The sequence below is a fragment of the Homo sapiens genome, chromosome 9, assembly GCF_000001405.40.
Source record: "Homo sapiens chromosome 9, GRCh38.p14 Primary Assembly".
Lineage (NCBI taxonomy): Eukaryota > Metazoa > Chordata > Mammalia > Primates > Hominidae > Homo > Homo sapiens.
Window position 1 is genome coordinate 76482192 of NC_000009.12, and position 18918 is coordinate 76501109.

An 18918-nucleotide genomic window follows, 5' to 3' on the forward strand; every position below is an offset into this window, starting at 1 on the left:
CCCAACAAAGAGTTGTACTTACGAAAAACAGCATGCTTCTCCCAATGGCCCCCCAAATCTCCTACTCCCTAAAACTCCATTGTCCATTAGAAATATAATGTGAGAAATAAAATTTTCTAGTAGCAGCATTAAAAAAAAAAGAATCAGGGCTGGGCGTGGTGGCTCCATGCCTGTGATCCCAGCACTTTGGGAGGCTGAGGCGGGCGGATCACGAGGTCAGGAGATCGAGACCATCCTGGCTAACACGGTGAAACCCTGTCTCTACTAAAAATACAAAAAAAAATTAGCCGGGCGTGGTGGCAGGCGCCTGTAGTCCCAGCTACTCAGGAGGCTGAGGCAGGAGAATGGCGTGAACCCAGGAGGCAGAGCTTGCAGTGAGCCAAGATTGCACCACTGCACTTCAGCCTGGGCAACAGAGGGAGACTCCATCTCAAAAAAAAAAGAACTGGTAAAATCTTTTTTTATCCTTTTGAGACAGGGTCTTGCTCTCTTACCCAGGCTGGAGTGCAGTGGTGTGATCATGGCTCATTGCAGCCTCAATCTCCTGGGTTCAGGTGATCCTCCCACCTCAGCCTCCTGGGTAGCTGAGACTACAGGCATGCGCCACCACACCGGGCTAATTTTTTTTTTTTTTTTTTTGGTAGAGATGGGAGTCTCACTGTGTTGCCCAGGCTGGTCTCAAACTCCTGGACTCAAGTGATCCTCCTGCCTCAGCTTCCCAAGGTGCTGGGATTATAGGTGTGAGCCACTGCATCTGGCCAAATTAACAGTATATTATCTTTAATCTAGTATATCAAAATTTTATAATGTTAATATGTAAACAGTATAAAAAAGTGAAATATTGAAATGATACATGTGTCTAATATTTGTATTACAATGTAATAATAGTATCTTACATGATGTCATTAAAGTGAAATATAGTCCTACCGAAACAGTAATGTGTTTAAGGGAAAGACATTTAATACTGCTTCAAGTTTTAAAATGTAAATAATTAAAATTTTAAAAAAGTATTTGTTGAGACTAGCCTCATTTCAAGTGCTCAGTAGTTGCATGTGACTACTAGCTAACATTCTCTACTGCATAGCCCTGAAGTTAACCATTTTCAACTTTTTACAGATTTCTTTAGGTGTGTATTTTCATATCTCTAAATAATAATGCTTATATGGTTTCTAAATTATTCAGCTTTAAGTTCTTTCTACTATTAAGGAGGGGTTTTTTTTTTATTGTTTTTTGTTTTAATAGAGACAGGGTCTTTCTCTATCACCCAGTCTAGAGTGCAGTGGTGCAATCATAGCTCACCGCAGCCTCGAACTCCTGGGCTCAAGTGATCCTCCCATCTCAGCCTTCTGAGTAGCTGGGTCTACAGGCGTGCACCACCACACCCAGCTAATTTTTAAATTTTTCTTGTTTTTGTAGAGATGGTATCTCACCATTTTACTTAGGCTAGTCTCAAACTCTTGGGCTCAAGTGATCTTCCAACCTCAGCCTCCCAAAGTGCTACGATAACAGGCACAAGCCACCACACCTGACCATTAAGGAGGGTTTAATTCTCTTTCAACCAAAACCCTCCACCACACTTGCACTCATTTCCTGGCTGTCTCTCATCCCCAAAGTCAATGATTCTGAAAAACTTTTTGTCGTGTGTGTGTATTTTTAAATATGAGATGGGGTCTTGCTATGTTGATTCAGGTTGTTCCAGGCTGATCTGGAACTCTTGGGCTCAAGTGTTCTTCCCGCCTCAACCTTCCAAGTAGCTGGGATCGTAAGTGTGTGCCACCATGCCTGGCCTGAAAACTTTTTTATTTCAGCACTGTTTATACTTTAAAAAAATCACTGAGGATCACAAAGAGCTTTTGTTTATGTGGGTTATATCTATTGGTATATATTCTATCAGAAAGTAAAACTGAGGCTGGACATGGTGGCTCACGCCTGTAATCCTAGCACTTTGGGAGGCCAAGGCAGGAGGCTTGCTTGAGGCCAGGAATTCAAGATCAAGTTTAAGTCCAGCTTGGGCATCATAGTGAGACCCTATCTCTACAAAAATAAGCAGCCAGGTGCACCTGTGGTTGCAGCTACTTGAGAGGCTAAGGTGGAAGGATCCCCAGGAGTTTGAGCCTGCAGTGAGCCAAGATAATGACATTGTACTACAGACTGGGTGATGGATTGAGACCCTGTCTTAAAAAAAAAAAAAAGAGAGAGAAAGCAAAAAACTTAAGTATTACTTCTGTGAAAATAACAATGATAAGCCCTTTATTTTAACATAAGTAATTTCTTGTGAAAATCTTTTCAGAAAAATTGGAAGAATAACAGTGTTTTTGTATTTTTGCAAATCTCTTTTACTGTTTGACTTAATAGAAAATACCTGAATTCTGATACTTCTGCACTTATTCTGTTGAAAACAAACACATCATGTAGACCCTGGAAAACTGCGCCGTATATAACACAGAGGGAGTGAAAAGGGTGCAGAATGGCCTAGTATTATTATGAAAATAGTTTTGAGACCCTCTGTATATTGTCATGCTTTTTGTTTGACCACAACTCAATGTTTATATTACTATAGCCATGTATAAACTGAGCATAGCATACCATGATTGCTTTTTTTTTTTTTTTTTTCTGAGATGGAATCTCACTCTGTTACCCAGGCTGGAGTGCAGTGGCACCATTTTGGGTCACTGCAACCTCCGCCTCCCAGATTCAAGTGATTCTCCTGCCTCAGCCTCCAGAGTAGCTGGGACTACAGACTCGTGCCACCACACCCAGCTAATTTTTGTATTTTTAGTAAACACGGGGTTTCACCATGTTGGCCAGGCTTGTCTCAAACTCCAGACCTCATGATCCGCCCACCTTGGCCTCCCAAAGTGCTGGGATTACTGGCGTGAGCCGCCGCGCCCGACCATGATTTCTTTTATTGTACATACTTGTTGGCATATTTTACTCACTTGTACTCAATGGCATTTTTTCATATTGTTTGTTTATTATATGTACTTTTATGTTTTTTGGAGATGGAGTCTCACTCCGTCACCCAGGCTGGAGTGCAGTGGTGCTATCTCGGCTCACTTCAACCTCCACCTCCCAGGTTCAAGTGATTATCCTGCCTTAGCCTCCCAAGCACCTGGGATTATGGGCGCATGCCACCACACCCGGCTAATTTTTTGTGTTTTTAGTAGAGACAGGGTTTTGCCGAGTTGGCCAGCCTGGTCTTGAACTCCTGACCTCAAGTGATCAGCTTGCCTCGGCCTCCCAAAGTGCTGGGAGGCCTGCATTTTACTTATTTAATTCTGGCCTGCACCTGGCCTGCATTTTACTTATTTAATTCTGAACTCTACCTTAGTTATCAAAATCTCTTCTAAATCCATTAATTTACAGCAGGGGTTCTCTGTTTCTCTCAAATATTTTCTGGAGCTGTTTACTTGCTTTAATTAAGGACTGGTTTCTTCCTAGTACTCCCACACAACCATCATCTTGGGATCTGTCTTTGTAATCCTAGGATTTCTGTTGCCTCTCATTTATATTGGGTCCCTTGATTACTGGATCCTGTCTCTTCCTTTTTTTTTTTTGAGACAAGGTCTCACTCTGCTGTCACCCAGGCTGAAGTGCAGTGGCTCAGTCTCACTCATTGCAACCTCCGCCTCCCAGGTTCAAGTGATTCTCCTGCCTCAGCCTCCCAAGTAGCTGGGATTACAGGTGTGCGCCACCACATCTGGTTAATTTTTGTATTTTCAGTAGAGATGAGGTTTCGCCATATCGGCCAGGCTGGCCTGAACTCCAGACCTCAAGTGATCTGCCTGCCTCGGCCTCCCAAAGTGCTGGGATTATAGGCGTGAGCCACTGTGCCTGGCCAGATCCTGTCTTTTTCTTAATGGGCAGTAGAGCGCAAACTTGGGGGCCAGATTATGTGAGTTTGAAGCCTAGCTCTTCTGCTTACTAGCCATATGACGTTCGAAGAGCTATTTAACCTCTTTATGCCTCAGTTTCCTTATCTGGAAAATAATACTTTCTATGTAGCATTCTCCTGAAGATTCTATGTGTTAATACGGGTAAGCCATTTAGAAGAGTTCCAGAGCATATTAAGCACTCCAGGTTAGTGATGTTGTTAATGCTCTTACAGTTGCTGGTGAATTTCATCTTTTAGTGGCATACTTCTCATAGTAACCTGCTGAGAAAGGTGCATGTGACTTTGCTGTATAAAAATGCCTTTCTGTTACATCACATTTGACCAATAGCTTGGCTGGTTATTTAGAATTCCAAGTTGAAAACAGTTTTCCTTCAGAATTTGGAAAGCATTGCTCTATTTTAGTCTACCTTTCAGCAGAAGGTGGGCTGTAAATTGCACGGTCTCAGCTTTCCCCATAGCCTGCTTTAGGATTCAGCTTCCTGAGATCTCCAAGTCAGTTATCATTCACTACCTCTAATTTTCAAATTTTTGATGCTACTACTTCAGTTATATTCTTTGTGTTTGAGGGACTTAGCCTTTTTTGAAAAATTGCTTATTATCATTTTATCTTAAACAGAGTATGCTTTTAGATATCTTCAGTTCCTGCAAGTTTGTGGGGAACTAGAAACAGAACTCTTTTCTGGCAGTCAAAAGAGAAGAAAGAATAGGGCTGGGTGCAGTGGCTCATGCCTACAATCCTAGCACTTCGGGAGGCAGAGGTGGGTGGATCACTTGAGGTCAGGAGTTCGAGACCAGCCTGGCCACAATGGTGAGACCCTCATCTCTACTTAAAACAAACAAACAAACAAACAAACAAAACTAGATCTAAATTTTTAGCAGAAGAGCTTGGCCGGTTCCTCATGGCCAGCCACAGTTAGGGTCTCAGCAGTTTGTTCAGTGTGAGACCACAGAGGAGCTAAGCAGCTCACTGCAGGGAGTCACAGACAGGTATCAGAGACTACCCTCCAAGCAGGGCAAGGTTGTGGTGGGGACAGAGACCAAATACCCTAAGATGAGATGAGGCTATGAAAGTGCAATTGGCCAGAAAGAACTCCACCCTGAATGGCAAGGCCTTCGCCTTGTGATCTTACCTGTTTCCTGCTCCTTCCCTTGACCTACCTTGGGTGGCGTTTGGGCTCCCTCACTTGGGTCACAGTCCTCCGAGATACTGGCATGGCTTTGACATCAAACACAGTAGTTGGTATTTTGCTCCAGTCACAGCAGCCTCTGGGACACTGAACAGTAGTCCTTGGAGAGTCAGTGAAATTGATAAGTATTCACTGGGACTAGAAGCCAACTGAACTTAGACCATGCTTCCTGCTGCCGAAGGGCAATAGGTTGGTGACCCAGGTTTATCCATCAGCGGTTTGTTTATGCATAGATGTGTGCATATGCTTACGTGCATATGTAGGCATGAGCCACCGCGCCCAGCCAGTTTTGTCTTCTTGAAGATGTCTCTCCCAGGGCCTTCTGACAGGTTCCAGTCTGCTGTGGTTGTCTGTTGGCTTGTTATATGGCCTAGATGTTCCTTGACCTGGGGATTCTCTTTTTTTTCTTCTTCGGTTAGATCTCCTTTCTGATTCTTACATCCTCCCCTTTCTTGGTTAATAATGCATACATATATTTGAGACAGGGTCTCACTCCTGTTGCCTAGGCTGGAGTGCAGTGGTGCGATCATGGCTTACTGCAGCCTTGACCTCCTGGGCTCAGGTGATCCTCCCACCTCAGTCCCCTGAGTAGCTGGGACTACAGGTGCACACCACCACACGCAGATAATTTCATATTTTTTGTAGAGACAGAGTCTCTCCGTGTTGCCCAGGCTGGTCTTGAACTCCTAGGCTCAGGCGATCCACTCGCCTCCACCTCCCAAAGTGCTAGGATCAGAGGCATGAGCCATGGCACCTGTCTAATAATTATTGAATATAACTCATTCTCCAGTAGCTGGACAGTAGCTGGAATACATTTTGCTTCTGAATCCATTTGATGTGGCTTAGTTTCCCCCCTCCCCTGAAAGTATATGCAGTATTCTTCCTCCCATTGTTCTGACATTTCATGATTAATGAATACATCTTGGTGTGGGTCTATTGTCATCCACTGTGCTGATACCCTAGAAGATTTTGCAATCTAGAAACCATTCTTTCATTTTGGGAAATACTCTTGAATTATTTAGTTGACGACTTCTTTCCTTTTTTCTTTTTCTTCTGTTTTCTTTTTCTGGAGCTCTTGTTATTCGTATGGTAGGTCTCCTGATCTAGTTCTCTAAATTACTGTATGTTTTGTTTTATTTTCTCATCCCTCAGTTTGTCTATTTGCTTAACTCGCTGTGAGTGTTTCTCACTTTATCTTCCAACCCTTTTATTGAGTTTCTCTATTTTTGGAGCTGGAGTCTTGCTCTGTTGCTCAGGGTGGAGTGCAATGGCACAGTCTCCGCTCACTACAACCTCTTCCTCCTGGGTTCAAGCGATTGTTCTGTCTCAGCCTCCCAAGTAGCTGGGATTACAGGCACACACCACCATGCCCCGCTAATTTTTGTACTTTTAGTAGAAACAGGGTTTCATCATGTTGGCCAGGCTGGTCCCAAACTCATGCCTTAGGTGATCTGTCTGCCTCGTCCTCCCAAAGTTCTGGGATTACAGGCCTGAGCCACTGTGCCCAGCCTAAGCCAGCGCACCTGGCCGAGTTTTTCATTTTTGCTATCATGTTAATAATTTTCAAGGGCTCTTTTTATTTGCTAGTTCTATTTATGTGGTTTCCTGTTTGTTCTAGTCATCTATTGCTATGAGGCAAACCACTTCAAATGTAGTAGGATACAACAATATCATTTTATTTTTTTGCTCACACATTCTGTTGGTCAAGAATTCGGTGAAGACTGGAGTTACTAGGGGCTGTAGTCATCTGATGGCTTCTTCACTCACATGTCAGACATCTGGCTGGGATTACTTGAAAACAGGGTTCAGCTGGAACAGTTGACTAAGGTACCTATATCTGGTCTCTCCATGTGGCTTCTTACAGCATGGAAGCTGGTTCTAAAAGGGAGCCTCTATCTAGAGAGCACATTTTTCAAGACAACTGGGCGGAAGCTGCATGGTTTTACATGACCTTGCCTTGATGGTGACATAGTATTTCTTTTGCCAAACTTTATTGGTCAAACCATAATCATAATGTGTCTGGAGTTGGTTCCTTCTGGAGGGTTCTTGGTCTCACTGACTTTAAAAATGAAGCCGCAGACCTTTGCAGTGAGTGTTACAGCTCTTAAAGGTGGTGTGGACCCAAAGAGTGAGCAGCAGCAAGATTTATTGTGAAGAGCAAAAGAACAAAGCTTCCACAGGCGTGGAAAGAGACCCCAGCGGGTTGCCACTGCTGGCTCAGGTGTCCAGCTTTTTATTCCTTTATTTGGACCCGCCCATGTCCTGCTGATTGGTCCGTTTTACAGAATGCTGATTGGTCCATTTTACACAGTGCTGATTGGTCTATTTTTACAGAATGCTGATTGGTGCATTTACAATCCTCTAGCTAGACACAGAGCACTGATGGGTGTTTTTACAATCCTCTAGCTAGACAGAAAAGTTCTCCAAGTCCCCACTTGACCCAGGAAGTCCAGCTGGCTTCACCTCTCAATCCCCCCTCTAAACAGGACACCCCAACTGCTGTTGGGAATTGGGTGATGACCGCTCTAGCTAATTCCTGCTGGATAAGAGCTAAGAAGAGGCCCTGCAGTTGTAGTGTCCTCCAGAGGGGAACTCTTTAGGCCAGTCAAAAGGCCAGTGGGTCAGTCCAGGGGTCCTCAGTAGAAGTTGTTAGTTGAGCTCATTTGGGGTTCCATTTGTAAGATCATCTGTAGCTTGATGGCCTCAATCCTAGAGGAAACAAATTTGACAAGGAGGTTAAAAATACAGGGCCCGAAGGCAAGTAATAGCAAGATGGCTGTCATGGGACCTAGAAAGGGGAGAAGTCATGTCCACCAACTCCAGAGGTTGGTATAAGAGTTTGAAAGGCGTTGTCTGATTTCAGAAGCCTTTTCCTCTAAGTGCCGGGCAGCATCTCGTACTATCCCTGACTGGTTAGTATAAAAGCAACACTCTTTCCCTAAGAAGGTGCAAAGTCCTCCTTTCTCAGCAGTGAGGAGGTCTAGGCCTCAGCGGTTTTGGAGAGTCACTGCTGCCAAAGAGTCTATTTGGGATTGTAGTTACTATCCTTACTGGATAGATTTTTTATTTCTTGCAAACTGTATGAGAAATCCTTTGAGAGTGTGTGGTAGTAATGAAGTAGATAAACTTGATATTCTGGTTCCTGTAGCAGTGGCCATTTCTAACCCTATACGTAGAGGTATTAGTTGTATGGCCCTGTGCTGACAGACTTGAGCTTTGAGGGGCACTGACAAGGTCTGATTTCCACAAGATTAGAAGTTAGGATAATACACGTTACACTGTTAACGTTTAGCGAACTTTACTTTTGTTGAAAATCTTGTAAGTTTGGGATTTTAATTTTTGTTTGCTATTAATAAAACCTTGTTCAGTCCATAGTAACTTAGAATTGGTATAGATGGCTCCTTCCTGATTCTGTAAGTACTTTAAGGTTTGGCTGAGTGCAAAGAACTCACTTGTTTGAGCAGACCAATTATTAGGCAAGTTTCCTAACTGCAAGAGTTTTCTTATCACTTACTGAATACCCATTGTGTCTTTTCCTGTTCTGAAGGGAGTTCCTCCTAGGTCAGACCTTTGTATGATAATTAGTTAAGATTTAGATCCCCTGTAAGGAAACCTGCTGGGTTAAGGATTTTTGATCAGAAGGCTGTGAGTTGTCAGTGGTCTCAGTGCTTTTGGGCTACGCCCTTGTTTATACTGACAACAAGGTGGTACTGGAGTGTTACAGTGTTACAGGGAAGACCTTCAATTATCAATTATAGGTTTTTAATTTACCCTGGCTTTTAAAGGAATAGATTACACTTTTTTCTTTACTACTTCCATCTCTCTTTCTTTCTCTTTGACTTCTTCTTTGTCTCTCTCTTTTTGACTCCCTCTTTGTCTCTCTTCCTCTCTCTCTTTGACTTTGTCTCTTTCTCTCTCTGACTCCCTCTTTGTCTCTGTCTCTTCCTCTCTCTCTCTCTCTGACTTTCTCTTTCTCTCTTTCCTTACTGCTGGTCTTTCCCTGCCTCTGCCAGCTGCTTATGCTGCTGTTCTCCTCTCCTTCCCCTTTTTGATGGCTTCGGCAGTGTAAGACTGCCACCTCTTTGGGTTTTTGCACTGCATGCAATAACTCCATGATTTCCTTGTGGTATTTAATGGGTGTCCCCCCAGAGGTTAGGAACTCCCTTTCTTTCCATATTGCAGCATGGGCATGTAGGATTAGATAAGCATACTTGCTATCTGTATACAAATTTGTTGTTTTTCCCTTTCCCAGTTTTAAGGCTCGGGTAAGTGCCACTGGTTCTGCTAACTGGGCGCTGGTCCCTGGGGGAAGAGGCTTACTTTCAAGTACTGTTACATCACTAACTGTGGCATAACCTGCCCTTCATATCCCATTCTCCACAAATGAACATCCATTGGTATATAGGTTAAGGTCAGGATTAGCTAAGGGGACTTCTAAGAGATCCTCTTGGGCAGCATAAGTCTGGACAATAATTTGTTGGCAGTCATGCTCAACTGGTTCCCCATCCTCTGGGAGAAAAGTGGCAGGGTTGAGGGCTGCACACGTGCATATTTGAAGCACCGGTCCCTCAAGGAGTAGCGCCTGGTATCTAAGTAGGCAGTTGTCTGATAGCCATGAACTTCCTTTGGCACCTAATATGCCATTTACATCATGAGTAGTCCAGACAGTGAGATCCTTTCCTTGTATTATTTTGATAGCCTCTGACACTAAGACAGCCACCGCCGCAACTATCTGTAAACAGTGAGGCCAGCCTTTTGCTACTGTATCAATTTCCTTACTTAGGTATGCCACTGGTTGTGGGGTTGTCCCATGAGTCTGAGTAAGGACGCTAAGAGCTATTCCTGCTCTGTCTGTGATGTATAAAGAGAAGTTTTGTCCTGTGGGAAGGCTTAAGGCTGGAGCTTGAGTTTGTTCCTTCCAATGCCCAGACTTCAGGGTTGATTCCCTCCTCAAGCAGCGGACAACAAATGGGTAACTTGTTCCCCATATTCATGTAGATAATAGCTCCAGCTATGGATAATATGTCCCTCCCTAATAAAGGTATGGGACTTTCAGGCATAACAAGAAAGGCATGTGGAAAGAGCAAAGTCTCCCAATTACAACTGAGGAGGTGGGAGAAATACCTGGTTACAGGCCATCCCAGGATTCCTCAGATGGTAAGGGACCTTGAGGACAGCTGTCCGGGACAGGAGATTAACACGAGAAAGCCGCACCAGTGTCCAGGAGGAAGTCAATTTCCTGGCCCTCAGTGGTTAAATGTACCCGGGGCTCAGTGAGGGTGATGACATGAGCTGGTGCTTGCCCCGGGCACCCTCAGTCCTTTTGTTGGATTATCTGGTTGGCGGCTTCTGGCCCAGAGAAACTTTGTGCCTTCCAGTGATTTCCGCGGCATAGTGGACACAGATGAGGGGGCAGCTTGTTTCTCGTTGGACAATCTTTTTTAAAGTATTTCTGCAAACCACACTGATAACAAGCCCTACTGGGTGATTGGCCTGCTCCATTTTCTGTCCTCTCTAAACCAGCAAGGTTTGTTTGTCTGAGAGCCATGACTAAGGCTGTGGCCTTTCTCTGATCCCGCTTTTCCTTTTAGGCCTGTTCCTCTTGGTCCCTATTATAGAATACCGAGGTTGCGAGGTTTAATAATGTCTCCAGATTTTGTTCAGGGCCCAGGACTCACTTTTGGAGCTTTCTCCTGACATCTGCAGCTGATTGGGTAATAAACTTATCTTTTAGGATCAATTGACCCTCGAGGGAGTCGGGTGACAGGGGAGTATATTTTCTTAAGGCCTCCCGTAGCCGCTTGAGGAAGGCAGAAGGATTCTCTTCCTTGCCCTGAGTTATGGTGGACATCATTGAATAATTCATGGGCTTTTTCCTAATTCTCCTTCATCCTTCTAGAACACAGGTCAGCAGACGTTTACGACTCCAGTCCCCATGATCTGAGTTGAGGTCCCAGTGGGATCCATACAGGGGATGGCTTGCTGACCGGTAGGGAATTTGTCCCTTTCGTCAGCTGTCATTCTATCATTTACTTGACTAAGATACCAGGTATCTCCAAACTCTCGGGCTGCAGCTGAAGCCACATTCCTTTCATTTAATGGCCCAGAGTTTGATCTAACAATAGCATGACATCTCTCCAAGTGAGATCAAAGGTTTGCCCTAGACCCTGCAGGACATCTATATACCTATCAGGATCATCTGAAAACTTCCCCAGGTCTGCCTTGATCTGCTTTAAGTCAGAGAGGGAGAAGGGGACATGTACCTGGGTTGGGCCAAATTCCCCTCCCCCTACAGCTTGAAGGGGACATAACTGATAGCCTGGGGGTTTTTGTGGTCCTTTGGAGATTTCTTTGCTTGTTTCCTTCTGGGCGGGGGAGATTAGAGGAGGCTCATCATTAATAGGAAGGAGAGCTATAGGGAGGCTAGGATATGGAGATAAGCTGAGAGGTCATCCTGTGGGATATAAATTGCAAGCTTTGCATAGTTGTGGATTCTCCTTCAATGAAAAGAAAGCTTGGACATAAGGTATTTCACTCCACTTGCCTTCCCTTTTACAGAAAATGTCAAGCTGCAGGATAGTATTGTAATTTCTACTTCCCTCAGGTGGACATTTTTCCCCATCAGAGAGAGAATATTGGGGCCAGGCCATAGTGCAGAAAAAAATAAGCCACTTCTTTTTCAGGGTTTGCAGGTCAGATTGTCCCAGTGGCTTAGGATGCATTTCAAGGGTGAGCCTGTTGATGCCTGAGTGTTTCCCATCTGAAAGAAAAAACCACCCGCGGTTTTGGTTTGTTCCCCGCCCCCCACCAAGAACCCATAACGGTCCCTGGACCCTGCTGATTGGAATAGTTGCACTCACCGACACAGCAGCAGAAACACTAGTTTTCCTGCTAGACCACAAGGATGACCGAGGAAGGTCAGATTTAGTGGCCCTTGCTGACGCATTCTTGAAAACCTGCACCCTTGCGTATTCTCCTGGGCCACAAAGAGGACTGAGAAAAATCGGATTTAGTGACCCTTACCAACACATTCTTGAAAACCTGTTAGAGTCCTAAGCATTCTCCTGTTAGTATTGGGACCTTACCCCTGTCCCATAAAGATGTTATGCCCCCAAAATGAAGTGGAGGGCCATACCCTGAGGGAGGGAAGGGATCTCCAGGGTTGGAAGAGTGACACATTTTGTTCTCACTTCTCATCATATGAATAGGAAGGATATCATGTCTGAGGCTCCCCATATCCTAGCTTCAGGAGTAGCTTTTGTTAGGCCTGCTAGTCTGAGAAATAATTTTGGCAAAAATTATTTCTTTCTGATTGGTGAGCCCAGGTGCCTAAAGAAGGGAACAGAGTCCTGAAGTTTATACTAGAAATCATTCTTATAGGAGAAACTAGAAAAGCACCAGAGACAGGGAGTGGTTTTTATAATAGGGACTAGCCTCGGAGAAGAGAGCAAGAAGTTTGTCTGACAGGCTTTAGGAGCCAGGAGGCAAGGGTCAGGATAGATAGGATAGATGGGCGAGTCTCACTTGGGTGATATGACTTGGAGGAGAGTTCCGCTCTTGGCTACAGGGTCAGCCAACTTTCTGTCAGGACCCCGGAGCTGAATGGCTTTCCTCTCTGTCAACCCTGGGCTCAGCCTGGAAGTACAGGAAAAGCGGAAGCTGTTTTCAGGCAAACCAACACTCCCAACTCCAAAGAGTTGGGGGTTGTTAGGTAGCCATTTCCCAGAAAACCTGACACCCGTATCTTTAGTCCGGCAGCCGCACTAGTCGCTTTTAACTGGCCGATAGGTGCCCAGTATTTAGCCACCGAATTCTAAGGAAAAATAGGACAGAATAGCAAGCGAAAGGGGTCCGATGGTACTCACTGCTTGGTGATGGTCCAAGGTCACCAAGATGTGTCCAGCATTGGTTCCTTCTGGTGGATTCTTGGTCTCGCTGACCAAGAATAAAGCCGCGGACCTTTGCAGTGAATGTTACAGCTCTTAAAGATGGTGTGTCCAGAGTTTGTTCCTTCAGATGTGTCTGGAGTCTCTTCTTTCCATTGAGTTCATGGTCTCGCTGACTTCATGAGTGAAGCCGCAGACCTTTGCGGTGAGTGTTACACCTCTTAAAGGTGGTGGGGACCCAAAGAGTGAGCAACAGCAAGATTTATTGTGAAGAGCAAAAGAACAGAGCTTCCACAGCATGGAAGGGGACCAGAGCAGGTTGCCGCTGCTGGCTTGGGTGGCCAGCTTTTATTCCCTTATTTGCTCCCGCCTATGTCCTGCTGATTGGTCCATTTTACAGAATGCTGATTGGTCCATTTTACACAGTGCTGATTGGTCCATTTTTACAGAATGCTGATTGGTACATTTACGATCATCTAGCTAGACACAGAGCACTGATTGGTGCATTTACAATCCTCGACCCAGGAAGGCCAGCTGGCTTCACCTCTCAATAAGGCCACTCAAATTCAAGAGGGAGGGAATTTGACTACTTCTTGGTTGGGGAGTGGCAAGGTCATATAGCAGAAGAAAATGTTGGGTGAAAATATTGGCCTGGCTGTCTTCAGAAAATATATTGTGCCTCATTAATATTTTTTTAACATATTTTTAACTTTATATCCTGAGGATGTTAGTGGTAGTTTTCTATATCCTGAGAATGTTAGTGGTAGTTTTCCTCTCCCTGAACAGTCTGTTTCATTTGACTGTTTGGGGGTCTCCCAGTTTAAGCAAGATATTTAAGCCTTATTTCTCTTGGCATGCTTGGATTCCCCAGTAAAAAAAACTCCTGCCCTGGGCTGACAATCAAAGTTCTGGGAACTAATATGGATAAGCAAGCTGGAAATGGAGAAGGCTATTCACTGTGCCTGGGTCCTACTGTTTTCTGGATGGGAACTGCTTTCCATTAGGCCTGGTGTGCCCTGGAAGGGAGAGCCTCTGCAGAGACTACATCTTGGATGGGTCTTTGCCAAGTTTGAGGTAGAAACCCAGCTGCTTTGTAAAGAGCTACTAGTGGATACTTTGAACAAAACAAAAAACAAAGCAACACCACTCCTCCATCATTCTCCGCATCCCCCCTTCAGAGGGATCCGTGCAACCAGCACCAGTTCCTGCACCCTTTGAAGATCCTGCAGTGTAAATAGAGCTGGTCTGTTCTTTCCCGCCTGTCAGCCTGGGATTTGTGCATATGCTTTTTCAGTTTCCTCTCGTCCATCTGCTTTTCCAGTTTGATTTCTGCCTCCTGTCTCCCTCTCCCTGAGGTCATTTTGTCCATCTTCCCACTCCATTAAGCACTCAGCGGCACCCTGTCTATCTGGTGGTGCTGACTCTCTTTATGTTGGAACACTTTTAGTGACCATATCGTCACCTTAGGGGCACCTGATACCTATCTTCTTTTTCCCTTCCTTGACTAGCTTTCCTTCTTATTGACTATATAAAAGATAAGTATTTATTTTCAGTATTCTTAGAATTTAGTATTTTTGTATTTCTTGGTCTTAAAAGTCAAGTACCAAGAACCATTACTTTCAGGTACTGGCTTTCCTCTGTTCCAACTCACGGTGGAATTATTTCATTTCTCATTTCTTCTTAGGTTATGCGATCTACTTAAAATTATATAGGGTAGTGTCCTCAAGGAAGTCTCCTCTTCCAGGAAAGGACCAGTGTCCACTGAGGGACCTTCTTCAGGACATGCCCCAGGTCAGTTGTTGGATTAGGCAGGCCTTGGGCGAGTGAGGCTTAGTATGGTTTGGGACTTGAGTTTTTCTTGCTTTCCCAGAATTCATGAGCTTTTGTCATTTAGAATGTTTCTTACTCTTCTGTAGTTGTCCTCACTGGCAAATCCCACCAGATATTCTTCAGTGAGTATGCTTCCTGAGTGAAATATAAAGGTGAAGGAACATTGGGCAGAGCAGTATTAACTACCCATGGCCACATTTTTGTTAATTATTTTGGTATTTATTCCTTGTGTGGGTGTGTAATTTTTGGTAAAGTTGCATTAAAATAGTATAGCATGTGCGCATTTTTACTTCCCTTTAAACTTCTTTTCTTCTTGGAAATCTCTTTGGCTATGAAATCTCATTTTCCTTTCACCCTTCTGATTCTTAGCCGAGTTTTACTTAAGAAAACGTTGTATGTCTTGAAATTAGGTTGGTTAATTACAATTCCTTCGAATGATTTGACTTCTGTATTCACCCTGATGATAAATAGACAAAATCAAAAGCATTTTTGACAAAGTAATGCTTTCTCACATATTTAGCTTCTTTATAGACACTTACCCATCTTGTTAAAACCCAAAACTAGTGATTTTACGTTGTAAAAAGCGTTTTTCAAAGCATGTGGGCCATGTAGGATGTAGACGACAGTGGTAAAGACCTATGCCTTTTTTGAGGTGAGATCCAAGTGTTTGGTTTTGAACTTTGTATTTTCTATTTGGATTTCGAGGTGACCCTTTCATGTACCCACATTCCATAAAATCCTGTTTAAGATAATTCTACTTCTCCTGTTTAAAACAAAAAAAAACCCAAGACTCAGCGGTGTCACAATTTGTAACTTAAAATCTGTTTACTTTGGTGAACTTTATTGTTACTATTCTAATAATAGCTTTATTGAATATTCACATACCATAATGTTTACCCTTTTAAAGTAAACAATATGTTCACAAAGTTCTACATCAATCTCTACTATCTACCTAGAGAACTTTCAAAGGAAACCTTTGTACCTACCAGCATTCATTGCCATTCCCCCATGTCCCCAGCCCCTGGCAGACACTCATCTACTTTCTGTCTATATGGATTTGCTTTTTCTGGACATTTAATATAAACAGAATTATAAATGACTATTTCTTAGCCTAATGTTTTCTAGATTATTTATCTACATTGTATGGAACTTGTGTGAGACCTTCATATCTTATTATACCCGTATAATATCCCATTTTATGGATATACCATATTTTGTTTATCCATTCTTCAGTTCACGGTCATTTGGCTTGCTTCCACTATTTTAGCTATTAGTAATGCCATTATGAACATTTGTATACAAGTTTTTGCGTGAATATATGTTTTCATTTTTCTTGGGTATATACCTAATAGTGGAATAGCTAGGTCATATGGTAACTCTAGTTTTAATTTTCTGTGGACCCACCAAACATTCTAAAGCAGCTTCACCAAGCATTTACATTTCTACCAGCAATTTATGATGGTTCCAATTTGTCCACTCAATGAGATAAAAAATACACTAGGGCTGGGTGCAGTGGCTCACCCCTGTAATCCCAGCACTTTAGGAGGCCAAGGCAGGCAGATCACCTGAGGTCAGGAGTTCCAGACCAACCAGGCCAACATCATGAAACCCCGTCTCTACTAAAAATATAGAAATTAGCCAGGTGTGGGGGCGGGTGCCTGTAATCCCAGCTACTTGGGAGGCTGAAGCAGGAGAATTGCTTGAACCCGGGAGCCAGAGGTTGCAGTGAACCAAGATCGCAGCACTGCACTCCAGCGTGGGCAACAAGAGCAAAATTCCAGCTCAAAAAAAAAAAAAAAAAGAAAAAAAGTGTATACACACACACTGTCAGCCTGTCAACACAGTTTTATCATCATAAATTAATGTAGCTGTCTTTTAAATCAGATGGGAAGAGAGTTACAAAGAAAATTACATTCATACTATAAATTTGTCTGTATATATATACCTTTACTGCTGCTTTCTATTTTTTCATGTGGATTTGAGTTGCTGTCTAGAATCTTTTCATTTCTGCCTGAATATCTTCATTTAGTATTTCTTGTAGGGTAAGGCTGCTAGTGATAATTTTTTTTTTAATTTATCTGGGAGTATCCTAGTTTCTCATTGTTTTTGAATGATTTTGCTCATTATAGAATTTTTGGTTAACAATCCTTTTTTTTGAGATGGAGTCTTGCTCTATTGCCCAGGCTGAAGTGCAGTGGCATGATCTTGGCTCACTGCAGTTTCCACCACCCAAGTTCAAGCGATTCTCCTGCCTCTGCCTCTCAATTAGCTGGGATTACAGGCATGCACCACTACGCCCGGCTAATTTTTGTATTTTTAGTAGAGATGGGGTTTCACAGTGTTGGCCAGGCTGATCTCAAACTCCTGACCTCAAGTGATCCGCCCACCTCAGCTTCCCAAAGTGCTGGGATTACAGGCATGAGCCACCACACCTAGCCAACAAACTTTCTGCGCGTTGAATATGTCACTCACTGCCTTTTGGTCTCCATTGTTGTTTATTTGAAGTTGTTAATCATTTTCAGGATTTGTTGTATAATCACTTTTCTTTAACATTTTCAAAATCCTTTGTCCTTGTCTTTCAACAGTTTGATTATGAAATGTCTAGGTAAGGATATCTGAGTTTATCCTCTTTGGCGCTCATTGAACTTCTTGGATGTGCAAATTAATTTTTGTTTCAATATTAATAGACTATTTTTAGAGCAGTTTTCTGTTTACAGACAAATTACACAGAAAGTACAGAGAGTTTCCATTTACCCCCTCACTGTTTCTGCTGTTATTAATATCTTACATTAGTGTGGTACATTTTTTACAATTAAGCCAGTATTTATACATTATTATTAATTATTGATACATTATTTTTTTCAACTATTTTTCTACCTCCCCAAACTTGTTATATAAATTATTATTAAGGGTTCATTCTTTGTGTTGTACATTCTATTTCTTTATTGAAATTTTCTCAATTTGGTTAGATACCATACTCGTGCTTTCTTTCAGTTATTTAGTTCTTTGAACATATTTATAAGAGCTGATTTCAAGTATTTATTAAATCCAATGCCTGGGCTTCCTTGGGGACATTTTTATTGACTGCTTTTTTTTGTTCCACCCCCCTGTATGTGGACCAGACTTTTGTGTTTCTTTGCATGCCTTGTAATTTTTTTTTTGTTGAAACTGGATAGTTTATAATGTGTCAACCATGGAAATCAGATCTCTACCCCTACCCTGAGGAGGGTTTGTTGTTTTTGTTATTTGTTTAGTGGCTTTCCTGGACCAGTTGTCTAAAGTTTATATTCTTTGTTATTTGAGACCCACTCAAGTTTCTCTCAGTTAGTTAGTGGTCTGCTAATGATTCCATAGAGATTTCCTTATGTGCCTTGAACCAGTAAGGGGCAGGAATTACTTAAAGGCATACTTTTTGTAGTGTTTTGATATTTTAGTGGTTGAAATTCTTATGTTTTGTTACCGAAGCTCCCCGTGGTCGCTTTCTGATAGAGGTGTGGAGTGGGGTGGTGATCAAGATTGTTAGAAGAAAATGAGATGAGCAACAAATTCAGCTTCAGGATTGTCATTAATTTGCCAGTGAGCATTGGGAATCTTCACAGTGGGGGAAAGGATATGTTGGATTTTCTAATCATACTGGACTGTTAAACTGTTCCTTGGTATACATTAAGGGAAATGCTGCTAGAGTTTTCTTTCAAAGAACTTAACCTAAATTTCAGGGTGTTTTCAAATCTTTAGCAATCCACAAACATAGAATTAGAAAAATAAGTAAGACTAGAGAGAAGGAAATTTTAAAAGAGAAAAGTTAACCACCCATAATTTTGAGAAAAAAAAGCAAATATGTAGGATTAGTTCACCAACATATTTTCTGAGTGTGTGAATACTATGTGTCCATATATCCCTTGTCACATTGTTTTTTAATTTCACAGATTTCTTTAAAGACTCGTGCAGCACATCATTATCGCTGGATGCCCGGACATGTAATACACCTGACAGCATGTGAAGTGCTCAGAATGGGGCAGGATGTCACCTGGAATCAGCACTAAGTGATTCAGACTTTCCTTACTTTTAAATGGTAAAAAGTCTAAATACTTTTCTTAACATTATTTTATATTAATGATGG

General features: G+C 42.7%; 1 protein-coding gene across 12 annotated transcripts in view; it reads left to right on the forward strand.

Moving 5' to 3' along the window:
- Positions 1-18918, forward strand: part of GCNT1 (glucosaminyl (N-acetyl) transferase 1) — a 113548-nt gene that overhangs the window by 88323 nt on the left and 6307 nt on the right. For 10 of the 12 annotated variants that reach the window (NM_001407181.1, NM_001407182.1, NM_001407183.1 and 7 more), the window contains one exon: positions 18725-18870. The gene's annotated coding sequence lies outside the window, so the exon portion shown is untranslated. Of the gene's footprint in view, positions 1-14540; positions 14760-18441; positions 18871-18918 lie in introns of those variants that run through there. The other 2 variants (XM_047423229.1, NM_001097636.2) reach the window with 2 other exon arrangements.